The 15615-nt window shown below is 39.7% G+C and overlaps 1 long non-coding RNA gene across 1 annotated transcript in view, besides 3 other annotated features; it reads right to left on the bottom strand.

Annotated features, from left to right (window-relative positions):
- The window catches only part of CASC15 (cancer susceptibility 15), a 529408-nt gene that overhangs the window by 443135 nt on the left and 70658 nt on the right, over window positions 1–15615 (bottom strand). The window lies entirely within an intron of this gene.
- Window positions 10189–11112: an enhancer, noted in NCBI's record as "OCT4-NANOG-H3K27ac hESC enhancer chr6:21741805-21742728 (GRCh37/hg19 assembly coordinates)". NCBI's record gives its function as "activates a minimal SCP1, AML or CMV promoter by ChIP-STARR-seq in naive H9 embryonic stem cells {active_cell/tissue: H9 hESC(naive)}" and the evidence as "EXISTENCE:reporter gene assay evidence [ECO:0000049][PMID:30033119]".
- Window positions 11113–12035: an enhancer, noted in NCBI's record as "OCT4-NANOG-H3K27ac hESC enhancer chr6:21740882-21741804 (GRCh37/hg19 assembly coordinates)". NCBI's record gives its function as "activates a minimal SCP1, AML or CMV promoter by ChIP-STARR-seq in naive and primed H9 embryonic stem cells {active_cell/tissue: H9 hESC(naive and primed)}" and the evidence as "EXISTENCE:reporter gene assay evidence [ECO:0000049][PMID:30033119]".
- Window positions 12960–13882: an enhancer, noted in NCBI's record as "H3K27ac-H3K4me1 hESC enhancer chr6:21739035-21739957 (GRCh37/hg19 assembly coordinates)". NCBI's record gives its function as "activates a minimal SCP1, AML or CMV promoter by ChIP-STARR-seq in naive H9 embryonic stem cells {active_cell/tissue: H9 hESC(naive)}" and the evidence as "EXISTENCE:reporter gene assay evidence [ECO:0000049][PMID:30033119]".

Here is a 15615-nt window from a genome sequence, read left to right as displayed (position 1 = left end):
ACTCATAAAGAAAGGGAGCTGACAAGCCACAAACTTGGAGAGAATGTCTAAAAGACACATAAAATGCTACTACCTAGAATTTATAAAGAGCTCCTACAAAAAAGCAAATTACAGCCAGACACAATGGCACATGCCTGTGGTCCCAGCTACTAAGAAGGCTAAGGCAGGAGGATCACTTGAGCCCAAGAACAGACCATCCTGGGCAACATAGTGAGACCTCATCTCAAAAAAAAAAAAAAAAAATACAGACCATAGAAGAAGTGACAAATGCAAATATTCATTTGCATAGAAATGGCCAATAATATATGTAAAGATGTACAATCTCATTAAGTATCCAGAAATACAAATTAAAAGAAACTATGCTAAACACAATACCAAAGGTAAGTTTGCAATGGTGTTGAATGATAGGAATATTTTACTCATTACTCATGAATGTTTGTCCCAACCACCTTGAAAAACAAGCCTGCACCAACTCAGGAAGTGGAATATATGCATGCCCTGTAATCCAGTTATTCTCCTTGGGAATATATCCCAGAAAAACTGTGTACCAGTTGCTCTGTGTACCAGGATACAAGAATGTCCACAGCAGTATTATTTGCAATGACCCAAACTGCAAACTACTTGACTTAGTTTAGCTCCTCTCAGAAGCAGACCCTAAGACAAAAATTAAGTTTATTTAGAAGAAAAAAATAAACAAAAAAAACTGGTAGGGGTATGGGGGAGTAAGACAGGGAAGAAAAGGCAGCCAATAAACGGTGTACCATTAAACCAACTACTGTGTGAGTCACTGGGGCATCGTCTCATAGAGAAACTAGGGGAACTGCAATTATCCAAGGGAGCTGCGGTATTTACACCCCAACTCCCCAGAGTCATTGGTTGAGACCTGCCCCCAGGGGCACTCCTGGCTTTCTGTGATGTGCAAGGCTTTCTGTAGTTGGGATGGAGAGGAGAGCGCTTAGACACAGATGCAGATAATGCATCTGGAGGTTGATGAGTGCATCACGAAACAGCTAAAAGACGTGGGTGAGGAACTGACAGAATCTGCTACAAAACAAAACCCACAAGTACACTGACAGGAAATGGATAAACTGAGGTACATTCATACACAGTAGTACTATACAGCAATGAAAATAAATGTATAAAGTTGCGCACATCACAAAACATATAACGTTAATTTTTAAAAAGGCGATAGAAGAAACACAGTACAGTTTCATGTATTTGAAGCTTTAAAACATGCAAAATAAAGCAATTATTAGTTAGGGACACATATATGGCGAAATCATGAAGGAACACAAGAAAATGGAAAACAAAAATGTCAGGATGCTGACTTATGTAAAATATGCTAAGAGACTAAACGTGTTTGAAATTATCAAAATTACATTTTATTTTGGAGAAATTAACTTTAATTGAAAAGGGAAAAGTTGTATCTGAGGTACGGGTGAGGAGGAATAATTGAAAGATAAAACAGAATTGAGACTGTTCTATGCTGGATGGCAGACGCATGGGTCAGCCTTTTATTGCTGTCTATTTCAGAAATGTATGTACACTTTTTATGCATAAAATATTTCAAAAAAGTAAAAGATTGAAATAAAAGATATCAAAACATTCACATAACTTCTCTGAGTGGAAGAATAATGGATTTTCTTTTCTTCTTTTTACTTTTCTGTATTTTCCGCAATAAATGTACATTCTTTTTGTATTAATAAAACAATTTGAAATTAATCATTTCCTCATAACCCCCCCTTATCTCCTAATTCTAGTTCTACCACCTTACACACATGGCCAATCTAGAAAAAGAGGGAAATCAGTTACTTGATTCCCTGTTGTGGTTATTAAGTTACACAGAGATCCCTGGTTTGCTAATTCAGCTGCAAATTTACATTTGCCCACAGGCACTGAAGCCAAAAAAAAAAAAAAAAAAAAAAGTAGGCCAATTCTAAAATAAATCATCCAGTGGGCAATTAAATACTTGATAAAAATTGAAGGGAAGAAAGAATCAGAACTCTATAGGTTAAATCCTATTATAACCAATTTCATATGACAGTTTCTATTCTCTCCTGAGGGATTTTGAGTGGAATTCAGGTTATGCCAAACGTTGCTTGAAAAGATTGAAGTATTTAAAGAATATTAAGAGACACAATGTGTTAGTAACAATCACAATCACAATTTTTATTTTGAAAGACAAATTATACCTGTAAAGGGGGAACAGACTGCATGGTCTACATCACTATTGAATATGGGAAGACTGAAGCTCCAAGATGCTTGAAATAACCAACTTGTGTATTCATCAAATGCCTTGTATATTTTGTCAAACCATTAAAAACTAAAATCATTACTGCTGGTCTCAGAGGTTATGTCTATCAAACAACTGGTTCCACTATTTGAATATAAATTTATAATCAATATCAGTCATCCTATCAATGCTAGAACAGAATAAATGTTCTTTACGGGTTGCAAAAACTTATTATTATAGTCACTACTAGAAAACGGGTGAATTTGTGATGCCCTACGATGTATTTGTCCATTCTATTAGCAGCATCATGTTTTGATGATGTACCAGTTAATATGTCTTCCTTTGGGACTCCAAAATCATTAAGGTTTATGTATTCATAATCTGAGAGGCCTAAGTGAATAGGCTTGAGGGCCCCAGGAGCACTTAAAAGCTAGTTGGGAAGAAAAGTGCCTGCCCAAATAGCTTTTGCAGAGCAACAGACCGTAAATCTCCTTTGTGAGCTCAGATAAGCTTGGACTGAAGAGGACTCTCATAAACTCCTGCTTATCCAAACTGCAATATCTGCCTCTGTGAGTTTCTAGCCCTGACCCCTGACAGCCCCTTCCATTTAACCTGTTCTTTCAGTGTGACTGTGTATAACAAGGGTTGTGCAGGAATGCCGCATGCCCTACAATATTTATTTCAATCCAAAATTCTCTTAACCAAGCTTGGGGGCTGCAGGTTTTGTACCACAGTGTCTGAAACAGAAGAGAAAAAAGAAGAGGGCCTCAAATTTCGAGGTATAACAGTATGTACCTCGTAACTATAGTTTACAAGAGCAGCCAAACGTATTATACTAAGAACCTTAATTTAGAAAAATCCAGTAGCCCACAAAGGCTGAAAGATTTAAAAAAAAAATTGGAGTCAATCACAAAAATAACCAATGTAATTTTTTCTAAAAAAAAAAAATACTAACCTCTGAACCATGTATTGTTTTCTGTTTAATAAAAGAAAAATATTTTCTGGTTTTCTAATATAAAAGGCCAACTTCAAAGGAGCTTTATAAGTACCATAAGGTAGTATTGTCACCCAGGCAATTTCAAAAGGTCTTTCAAACCACCCTCAGATAACTAATCTGTTACTTGGCAACTCTTATGAGAAAACATCTTTAAAGAGTCCATAAACAATCATTATCTTTAAACAGCATCCCAAAAACTAAAATCCCTGGATAACATAGATTTTTCATTTTTACCTCTCTCAGACTCTATCTCACAACTCCTTCTCTAATTTAAAAATAATAATAATTTAAAAGCTAATGAGAAGAAGTCCTACAACAGATTCTGTAAAAATGCACCTTGCAAAAATGGGTGTCAAATAAAATCTATCTTTGAATTTAGAGAAAAGACAGAGAGGCAATAAAAGGATACAAGTTTAAATGAGGAAAAATCTTTACATCATCATTTACTTTTCCATTTTAATTAAACTTGAATTCCAAATGATGCTGAGTTTATTAACAAGATAATTCTTTATAAGTCACTACTGAGCAGGTTCCATAAGAATTTTATGGTCTGTCAATATCAAATGGTAAAGAGTAATCTAAGAATTTAGTGAGTCAATAAAATAAAAGGCATTCACAGTACACCCACACGTAACCTGAGAACTCCCTTGAGGACTAGGGGGGTGGTTTCAAGTGACTTTCAACATCACCAATTAAAGCAACAGCTTCGGCATTAAATATGCCATTTGCACCTCAATCTACTTCATCTCCCTCTCCAACCAACAGACAGCTCCCTGAATACAGTTGCACAAGTGCCCACTATGTATCTTGAGAGATGAAATTAGAATTTTTATGGCTGGGAAGTATTTACAGATCACATAAATACTTACACAGATCAGAGAAGTGAAATAAATTTTGAATCACCAAAATATACTACTTTCCGGGGTGCTCTGTTTACCCCAACTAAGCTCTATTTACTACAGTGCTATTTTTTAAGGCCTTCAGGAGTTCCAGGCTCATACCTTTACTAAAACACAGTGTAAGGATTCCAGATTTCCAGTGTCCTAAAATCAGTGTCCTCTTTAGGTTAAGTGTAAATGAGTGAGTATGTGTGGGTGGGGAGAAAAGGGTTGAGAAGATGTTGAAGAGGAGACAGAGTATCTTGAAAGGAAATTCCTCTTAACCCAACATGAGATTTTTGGAAATTCAGGACAGTTCAGGGTAACATGAAGTATCACTTAAGTAAGAAGGTGCATGAAGACACTTACGTTAGAATTCTCTATATTCTTGAATAAATTATAAGATGGCAGAAATCTAACAATCTGAGAATTATAATCCAATTTTCAGCATTGCAATGCTGGGTCATGTTTTACTTTTTCTAGCAATATCTTATTTTAATTCAATATTTACAAGAAAGGAAAGTTAAGTAGCATAACTCAAAATTCTGATGTTATACTGGAAAACATTTCTGTCAAATAGGAAAATAGCTCTACACATGGCTGTTTCTCCTCTGAAATTACATTGATGTCGACCTCTCCTCTTCTATAGAGGAACTTTACCACCACGGAAGGCCAGGATTACATTCAGTGAATACGTGAATAATTCCCACTGCATTAGCGTTAATGCAACTGCCACAATCATTTACACTAACACCCTTTTACACAACTACTATGACTTCTGCTAACAACTCAGCTGTTACGTCTACATTTTTTACAAGATAATAATATATGTGGTAAAGCCACCAAGGGCCGTGGCAGAAACACCAAATGTAGAGGGCCTTGAGGGTTGAATAAGCCCATTGTCTGTTTTCAAACAAGAGGGCTGTATTCATGTTGAAACCAGAGTATAAAAAGTAGATTAGAACAAAGCCTTAAAATCAGAAACAAATCAAAAGTAGCTGAAAACCCACTCACATGTTTTAAACTACAATTTCTATGCTTGGCATTGTTTGTATATTTCCATTACAAAATAAACGTGAAGATGATAGAAATTTATGAGGGCAGCACGTTCATAGAAGAGGTACTTTTTTTCTTTTTTCAATTTATCTTGAATATTTAAAATGGCTTTTGGGGGAGAAGAATATCCTTACCATTTTAAAAACATATAAAGTGAGCTGGAGATTTGTCAACTTATTAAGGACTTGATTTTATGCTTCAGTCAAAGATATGTTACACTAGAGAAATAATATTATTTTATACTTATGCTCTCTGTACAGTTTATTAATAAGCAGTTTCATGTAAATTACCTTAATCCTTATAACAACCCTGTGAGGTAAGTATGGTTGGTCCATAGGTGGATTAAAACCCTGCGTCTCAGTGTAGAAGATATTTGTCATGTTTTCCCCCTGGTTAGCACCTTTTGAACACCCTTGATGTAGCTGGATAATTTTCAGCTAATAAGTCCCACTTTCCAATTAAAGAACTCAGAAAACTTCGTTCTCCAGTCTCCTTTGCAGCTAGGGTGACTTCAGTACCACCAATCAGATTCACCCTTGAACAACTTGGATTCACATGCGGGCAACTTGCAGGAGGAAGCGACATACCGGTATGGATTTGACATGGTTTTATTACAGGTAAGGATGGCAATCATGGTATCCAGCTTAGGGGGCCAGTGATGGTTGCAAGGCTGCCTTCTCAGAGCAGGCAGATTTCCTGGCAGCATTAGAAACCACAGCAACCGGTCGGGTGCGATGCCTCATGCCCGTAATGCTAGCACTTTGGGAGGCTGAGGAGGGCAGATCACTTGAGGTCAGGAGTTCAAGACTAGCCTGGCCAACATGGTGAAACCCTGCCTCCACTAAAAACACAAAAAATTGGCCAGGCGCGGTGGTCACACCTGTAATCCCAGCACTTTGGGAGGCCGAGGCGGGCGGATCACGAGGTCAGGAGATTGAGACCATCCTAGCTAACACGGTGAAACCCCATCTCTACTAAAAATACAAAAAATTAGCCGGGCGTGGTGGCAGGCACCTGTAGTCCCAGCTACTCGGGAGGCTGAGGCAGGAGAATGGTGTGAACCTGGGAGGAGGAGCTTGCAGTGAGCCGAGATCCATGCCACTGCACTCCAGCCTGGGCGACAGAGCGAGACTCCGTCTCAAAAAAAAAAAAAAAAAAAATACAAAAAATTAGCTGGGCGTAGTGGTGGGCACCTGTAATCCCAACTACTCCGGAGGCTGAGGCAGGAGAATCACTTGAACCTGGGAGGCAGAGGTTGCAGTGAGCCGAGATAGCGCCACTGTACTCCAGCCTAGGTGACAGAGCAAGACTCCAACTTAAAAAAAAAAAAAAAAAAAAGAAAGAAAGAAAGAAACCACAGCATTCAGGGCTCAAGGGGGCAGCACAGGTGGTGACGGTTTCCTCTTTAGGCCAGTTCTTTGCCATGGTTTTGGAAACTGTTTCCGAAACGTTTAGCTATGTGCCTAGTTCTTCAGCCTTCCCAAGGCGACCACAAGCTTCTCAATATCCTCTCAATAAATTCCATTTCTGCTTAACCAGAGTCCGTTTCTGTCGCTTACAATTAGGGACCCTGATTCAAACATTTACTGAGGTTGTCGCACAATATTCATTCTCTTTGGGAAGTCTTCTCTGGCCAAGCAACCTTTAGCCTAAGTCCAAAGGGATGCATAAGACTCAACCAAGCCAAGGTTGAGGTGTTGAGGTGGGGAAAGGGGAATGGTATTGTAGGCAGAGGGCCAGGCAGTGCAAAGGCCCTGTGGTGGAAAAGATGAACCACTGGTCTTGAGCATAGTGAATGGCATGGGGGAGAACTTAATGAAATGAGGCAAACAGGTGAGCAGAGGCCGGTGTACAAGGGCATGGTCACACATGTTTCACCTCTAGGCCTGCATGTCAGAAAAGAAAATTTCTCTATTAAGCCAAAATAAAAGTAGACATAAGCAACACACATTTGAAATTTTACCCTGAGAAGTTTCAGAGTAAGAAAGACCAATACCCCAACTACCAGGTACGGTTCCAAACACGTAAAAATAGTGATAATGTTGATAATGTTTCCCCTACATGCTTTTTTTTTTTTTTTTTTTGAGATAGGGTCTCACTGTATTGCTCAGGCTGGAGTGCAGTGGTGGGATCTCAGCTCATTGCAACCTCTACCTCCTGGGCTCAAGCAACGCTCCCACCTCAGCCTCCCTAGTAGCTGGGACTACAGGCACACACCACCACACCTGGCTAATTTTATATCCTTTCTTATACACACAGAAACATTCCCATGTTCTTCAAGTATTCAAGTAATAGCCCAGCCGTAAAAGCTTATCAAACAGCACAATGGATCTGGACTGAGGAAACCTGTGTCTGAGCACTTAAGCAAAACTTACTAAATCCATAATCTTAGAAAAATTACATGCATTATCTGGGCAGGTTGCCCAAATCAATAAGATACAGAAGTATCTGCTGCCCTCCATACCTCATGGAATTTTAAGGCTCACATAAGCCAAGAGATGTGCAAGATCTATATATTAGGTATTATTAGTAAGGAGTAATTGTGATGACAATAATAGCTATTAGGAAATGTCACTGGGCATGGTGGCTCATACCTGTAATCCCAGCATTTTGGGAGGCCAAGGCAGGAGGATCCATTGATCCTGGGAGTTCAAGACCAGCCTGGGCAACATAGAGAGACCCTGTCTCTACAAAAAATAAAAACTAAAAAATTAGCCAGGCATGGTGATACACGTCTGTGGTGTTAGCTACTCAGAGGCTGAGGCTGGAGGATCGCTTGAGCCCAGGAGGCAGAGGTTGCAATGAGCCATGACCGTGCCACTGCAGTCCAGCCTGGGTGACAGGGTGAGGCCTTGTCTCAAAAAAAAATTAAAAAAATTAAAAAATTTGACCAAATGCAAAGTACTTTGGGATGGTTTATCTTTTCAGTTCTAAACTATTTAGTGGAAATTTCTATGTGGAATTTTTGGCTGCCATGGTTTTGACCTCAAACAAACTCACAATCTAGAAGACATAAACAAGTATACTGCAGCATTATAAATGGTAACAGATAAACCACCATTTTCAGAACAACACATACTTTGTCTTACTCATCTTTGTATCTCTAGTATCTAGGTGGCAGTACCTTAAAGATAGTAAGCAAGATATTGTCTTTGCCTGCATCTAGTTAAGTCATTCCCCAATTTGAATGTTAAAGATAATGAAACAAATCACAAAGTGAATGCTTAGAAACCAATCTAGTTGCTGGGCGCGGTGGCTCACGCCTATAATGCCAGGAGGGAGGCCGGGGCGGGTGGATCACGAGGAGTTCAAGATCAGCCTGGCCAACATGGTGAAACCCCATCTCTACTAAAAACTACAAAAAGTAGCTGGGTGTGGTGGCCCGCGCCTGTGGTTCCAGCTACTCGGGAGGCTGAGGCAGAAGAATCGCTTGAACCCGGGAGGTGGAGGTTGCAGTGAGCCGTGATCGTGTCACTGCACTCCATCCTGGGCGACAGGGCGAGGCTCTGTCTCAAAAAAAAAAAGGAACCAATCTAGTTTGGCCAACTATGCAGCCAAATCCATGATAACCAAGTTTGAAAGGTTTCATTTAATCTTCAGCATATTTCACCACAGAACAGTATAGAGATGGTGGATTTATTATAAAAATATTTGGCCCCTGGCCAGGCACAGTGGCTCATGCCTGTAATCCCAGCACTTTGGGAGACAGAGGCGGGCGGATCACGAGGTCAGGTGATCGTGACCATCCCAGCTAACAGGGTAAAACCCCATCTCTACTAAAAATACAAAAAATTAGCCTGGCGTGGTGGCACACGCCTGTAATCCCAGCTACTCCAGAGGCTGAGGCAGGTGAATTGCTTGAACTTGGGAGGCGGAGGTTGCAGTGAAAGGAGATCGCGCCACTGCACTTCAGCCTGGGCTACAGAGTGAGACTCCGTCTCAAAAAATAAAAATAATAAATATATATATTTGGCCGGGCTCAGTGGCTCACGCCTGTAATTCCACCACTTTGGGAAGCTGAGGCAGGCAGCGGATCACCTGCGGTCAGGAGTTTGAGACCAGCCTGGCCAACATGGTGAAACCTCGTCTCTACTAAAAATACAAAAATCAGCCGGGTGTGGTGCTGTGCGCCTGTAATTCCAGCTACTCGGGAGGCTGAGGCAGGAGGCAGGAGAATCGCTTGAACGTGGGAGGCTGAGGAGATCTCGGTGAGCCGAGATTGCACCATTGCACTCTAGCCTGGGTGGGCAACAAGAGTGAAACTCCATCTCAAAAAAAAAAAAAAAAGAAAGAAAGAAAGAAGAAAGAAACTGCTTATTTTGCCCTCTGTGTCTTCACTAATAGACATGGACTACATTACAAACCCCAACAGCAACAACCCAGATTCACCAGCCTTAGAAGGAAACATCAGAGATATGCCAACATCCCTACTGCGCATGAATACCCACTGCATTCAGAAAAAAAAAAGTAGCAACTTACATGGCATTCCACAGCCCACCTCAGAAGCACATCCCAATTTTTCACAACTCTCGCAGTCAGACTGTGAGGAAAGCAATTTTGAGTGGAAGTCAGAGGTGGACATGGGTTTCCAGATAGCAAAAGAGTCTGTAAGTTAAAAGAGAATGTTCAGTCACAGCTTGAAAGTAGAAGTAAAAGGGACTATTAAGAAATGACAGCAAAACTAAGACTTACTGTCAAGAAAGAGAAGCAATTCCAAGAACTGTTTAATCCATTAAACTGATGCCCAACTATCCAAGTATATTCAGAACTTAATTTGATCGTGCCCTGATCTGCCTTTACATTTTAATTAAGATTAGCTGAGCATGTAAATTAGTTTTGAGCATAATATCCTAGGGTGAACAAAACTAAAAAGAACGGAAATAAGTCCATCCGAGAAGGAAATGCGGGGAAAGGCAATCCTTGGGGATCCTTTGATCCTCAAGGTGAGGGCACCAGACAGATGACGAAGGTGGTAGCATTAAGAACTCAGCTGGAAGCACTTTTCCATTTAGGTTCTTCCTTGGAAGGGTGCCCATTCATGACAAAGACAAGGAAATGCAGTAAGTGTGAGTAGAACTTAATATAAACAGTGAGCTCTTTCTCAATTCTAAACTGCAGGCCTCCTAAATCCACATCCTGGTATAACGCCTTTAAAAAATGAAAAACCTAGCGATACAGTCTTAGCTCATACTTAACTTGTTATCTAGGATATTCCTGTGTTACATTTTTGCCTTACTTACATAAAGCCTGTCATTCAACACTTTATAATCTTTTAATTCATTTTCTTCTCCGTTTACTCTGTCCTTCACTTTTCCTTGTATATTGTATTTACGTAAATGTATGTATGTATAAAATTGCCGTATGTATATACATACAGTCTAAAACTAAATCTTATTCTACTGATCTAAAGTTAACTAAAAAGATTAAGTAACAGATCTGCAAACTACTGAACTGAAATTTTTTTATGACTTCCGTGTCTAAACTTTCACAATTACAATTGTTTTCAAACTTTAAATATCCTTAATTTTCCAGGATTTCCTCCAAAATCATTGTTTCCTGCCATCAATATAGTTTTAAGTTTCATAAAACATCCATGTAACAGGCTTTTTTATCTGCTAATCAACATCATCCATAGGCCATTTGTTTCTAAAGATAACTTCAGTTAAAACTGATCTTATTCATCAGTTTAGGTGGCAGAACTCAGACATGATGCTCAGAGCCCAAGCTCTGCAATCTGCACAGAAATGATTTTATACCCATACAATTGCTTCCTGCCAGAGGACTACGGGAGTGCAGCCTTGGGAATTTAAATGACCGATTTACCCAGGGAAAGAAAGCTTATTTTTAGTAAGTGGGAAAAAAAAAATGTTGATTTAATTTATTTTACTGCCTGTGAATCTCCTTTGGAAAAGGAGAAGCAGAGTTTGATTAATTAGATTAGCAAATGCAGTAAGTTGTTTATTCACTTGGGTGAATCAATGTTTCCCTGAATTTAGTTTAGCTTTATTTTATGCTTTCAAACCCATCCAGTAGGTAAGATGGTGAAAGCCAAAAGCCTTTCTCTCCCACAGCTCCTTGGAATATCTTTTCACATGTTAATTTGATCTTTTTGTGATCGGAGGCAGATGTATTTCACAGCGCCTCCCTCTCCCCTCCCCACTCCACCCCAGCATATGGGTAACACACATATAGATGATAGAAAATTATAGATGATAGAAAATTGACTACAGGGATCTATTTCCATTTTTTATGCCTCCTCGTTTTTAGTATTTTTCCTTTCCTGCTGACTTTCATTGTAAATTATATTTCTACCCAGTATTAAAATTCAAAAGGAAATAAAGAGCTTTCTCTGCCGTTAATGACAGCGTATTTTAAGATGATTAGGAAATAATTATTAGAACAAATTGCTTTATTTAAAAAAAAACAGTTGCTAAATTTCTCAAATGTTTGCTAGTTTTTCTTTCTTCATTCTCTTAATGACCTGTCTTTCTAAGGAAGTTCCCTTCATGTGACTTGCTACACAAAATCATTCCTGATTCATTTGTTACTGAGATTTACCGGAGTACAGCTGTTCAAACAAAGTACTTGCCTGCGAAAGCCTGGGAAGATTGGGGATGATAATCAAATTAAAATTCCAGCTCTACATTCTTTTATCAGAGTGCAGACAATTGTGATATATTTAAAATGTATTAAAATAAAAAGGGCAGAGCTCTGCTGCATCATAGACTACATTTTTCCGTTAATGACCTGGAGGACACATTAAGAAGGAGAAAAACTTATTAATTCAGCAAGAAATCAAATGTACATTTCTAGGAGAGATTTTTTTTCTCAACTTAAAAGAAAAAAATTGAAGATCCAAGAGAATGGGGATTTTTAGCAGTTGGGGACCACTAGAGATTATTTGACTCAAAGTGATAGGCATAACATATAAGTGCTGGTGGCCTGGACACAAGAGACTGGGGTGACTTCTCATACACATTAGACACCATTGATTTTCAACTAAAGGTAGAACTGGAAGTGCTTTTATTCAAAGGCTGCAAAAATCACCTTCTCCAAGGAAGTTTAACATCTCTAGTTTTCTGAATATGAAAAAAGATTATAGGATCACAGTCTCCCGTGAGCTAATGAGGCATATGCAACCAGCCTTGAAATTTGAAAGGAGAGAGAGAAAAATCAAAATTGGAGTGCATTCACCCTTCTGAACGTATTTCTTTCCTCCCTCCAAAGCATCTGTATCCTGGCTGAGCTAGCAGACAATTTAAAGGTTTCTTAGATCAGTTTTAATATTTTTTTTAATTACACTGAAAATAATACCCACCCCCAGAGACAAGCATTGTGTTTGCACAAGGAACAGCGTCCCCTTCTTACCAGTTCCCCAAGACCCCCACCTCCATTCAGTCACCAAGTCCAATCTGAAATCCACCTCCTAAAGAGCTCTGGACTCCAGCCACTTTCCGCATTCCTACAGCCACTCCCCTAATTAGGGCTACTATTATCTCCCCACCGGATTACTGTGGAAACTTCCTAACTGGTCTACCTGTCTTCCAGTTTGCCTCACCCCATCCATCCTTCACACACCAGCTACAGAGATCGTTCTAGGAAAGTCAGTCTCCTATTGGCATTAGGATAAATTCCAAACACCTTTACGGAGCTCAAAGTATGTTCAGGATCTGTGCAATGCTCCAGCCCCATTTCTCTACTTCCACCTCACACTCCACACTATAGCCAAGCTAAATTGCTTTTATTCCCTCCCAACACCTCCCACCCTGGACCACCACACGCACACAGTGGGCTCTGGCACATGACCTTGTGAATGCCTGTGATGCCTCCCACCCCAATCCTAACCCATCCTCCCCCTTTTCCATCCTTTGACCCACTCTTGCTCTTCATCAAGTCTCTGCTTACATATGACATTCTCCCAGAAGCCTTTCCTCTAAGTCTGGGTTAGGCAACCCCTGCTCACTCTCCCAAAGCACCTTATATTTACTCGTTCAAATGATTTATCATGCTACACTGCAATGCTATTATTATTTGTCAATATCCCCCTAGCATGGAAACTCCACGAAGACAAGGATAGGGCCTGCAGTGTTCAGCACCAAACTCCCAGTGCCAGTGCCTAACATCATGCCTGGTACTTTGTAAGTGTCCAGAATAAATCTCTATTGAATGAATAAAATTAATCAATTAATGACAAAGTTTTCACTCAAAGACTCTGAAGTCTCTGTGGCAAGTGTTTTTTTGGAAATGAGCTGGGAAAATCACCTTGGAGAAGGTGATTTTAAGCTTTCCTAAAATTTAACCTAGCACATAGAAGGTATTTGATAAATATTTGTTATTTATCCTGTTTGTTACTGAATTGAGAAACAAACAGGATTAACAATGCTACTAGGTATATAAAAATGTAAAGTTTTTTTTTTTTTTATTAAAACTGCTTGTCAGACATTGAATAGGGGGCCAGAACATGTAAATCCAGTTATACGGGTTATACAAGTGCTGGGTCTGAGTAGTCCTTACCCCACCGAGTGCTAGGTGACCTGGATTCAGTATTTTAATTGTTTGCTGTTGCTCCTATTTTATTTACACTACAAGCCACTACTCTTCTGAGGTCAGCCCCACATAGAAAGGAGATTGCACCATCAGTTTTACTCAGATTTGCAAGTCAAAATACGATAACAAGAAAAACTTCAAGTTCACCCTTATTTCTCTTCATTCTAAGCAAATAGATAAACCAATATCCAAGAGAATCTTGCCACTTTGTACAATGATCCTGTGCACATCTGGCAGTCAGCCCGGCCCACACTGGAGTTTGTGTGTTTAGGCTTCCTTTATAATTTGAAGAGCAAGGGTGATGACACAGCTCCTGTGACCAATTCCAGTCCCTGTTTACTATTTGCCCAAGGCTCCTGCCTCAGCTAGACCTGAGATCTGGATTGAGATATTTACTATAAAACAAACCAGTAGTCAGGACCTGCTTTCACTCTCAAAAACACCGGTACCTACAAAAAAAAAAAACTAATCTACAGAAGGTTAAGAGCCCCCACAGAGTCTCCACCCAGCCCTTGTCCATCCTCATCTCCAGTTGTCCCCTGGCCCTTGTATCTCATACTCCAGGCACACTACTCAGGGATCTCCACATCTTCCTCTGTGCTCTGCACAGTCTCTTTTCTATGCTTGGAATGTCACCACTCCAGTCTCATTGGCACTCATTGCCTACCACTCTCTACTGATACTTTTTTTTCTTTTATTTTCTTTTTTTTTTTTTTGAGGCAATGTCTTACTCTGTTGCCTAGGCTGGAGTGCAGTGCTCACTGTAACCTGGACCTCCCAGGATCAGGCAATCCTTCTGCCTCAACCTCCCAAGTAGTTGGAACTACAGGCACACGCCACCATGTCCAGCTAATTCTTAAAATTTTTTATATTTATTTATTTAGTTAGTTTGTAGAGAATGGGGTCTCACTGTATTTCCGAGGCTGGTCTTGAACTCCTGGACTCTCAACTCATACTTAAGGCCCCTCTCCCTGCACCCAAGCCAAATCAATCAGTTCCTCCTTTGTCCCTCCCTTCCTTACCTCTCTCTTACTTAACACATTAGAGATTGTAACTACTTCTCATGCATCTATCTCCCCTAACAAGTTGAGAACTACTTACAAGCAAAAAAACACATTTTTTTTTGTTTATTTCCTCATAAAAATCATAAAATCACACCTCACACATGTTAATCAATGAATGGTTATTTAATGAATGACCCTACCTTATCCCTACCCACAACTGAGACGATACATTAAAATTACCAGAACTTGACTATAATTCCATTCATCATGGTTCTATATATACATCATTGAAACCAAAAATGCAAGTACTACAATTTACTTGCTGTGTAGACTAAGGGTAAATTACAAAATTGATTGTCCTAATGACAAGGAAATCGTTCAGCCTCTGACAGCATAACTTTGAATTGTTGTTCCAACCTGATCAGTATTACAGACAATCCAAAGAGAATTTTTAGAGATTTTCAGTGGCACGCCCTACCTGGCCTTTTAAACATTTGCTCAGCAAGCATTTGTTAAGCACCAGCAATATATGTGTGGCTTTCCATGGTAGGCAAGGACTACCAAATTGTGTTAGAAAAGATCTCTGACCTTAAATGAAGGTCCCTTTCAGTCTAGTAAAGGAACGAAAGCAATTACTTAATGGATGTCATGTGAGTGGTAGAAACAGAGTATTACTGGGATTTACAAGAGGATGAAGGCAGGTGGTCTTTCACTACATATTGCTAGCAGGATGGTAAATGCAGTCTAAGGTGACAATTTTGGCTCCTTTTAGGCCAAGATTTGCACCATTTGTTTAGCTGCAGGTCTCTTAGTAACAATGCAGGAGCTAGGGAGTTAAGATGCCTCTACCTCGAAGGAGAAAGGAGGGTAGAGAGGCTTCTCAACTCTTCCGGGCTTTCC

Source organism: Homo sapiens, chromosome 6, assembly GCF_000001405.40.
Source record: "Homo sapiens chromosome 6, GRCh38.p14 Primary Assembly".
NCBI lineage: Eukaryota > Metazoa > Chordata > Mammalia > Primates > Hominidae > Homo > Homo sapiens.
Note: the sequence above shows the minus strand (reverse complement) of the source record. Positions and strands in the feature narration are given on the sequence as shown.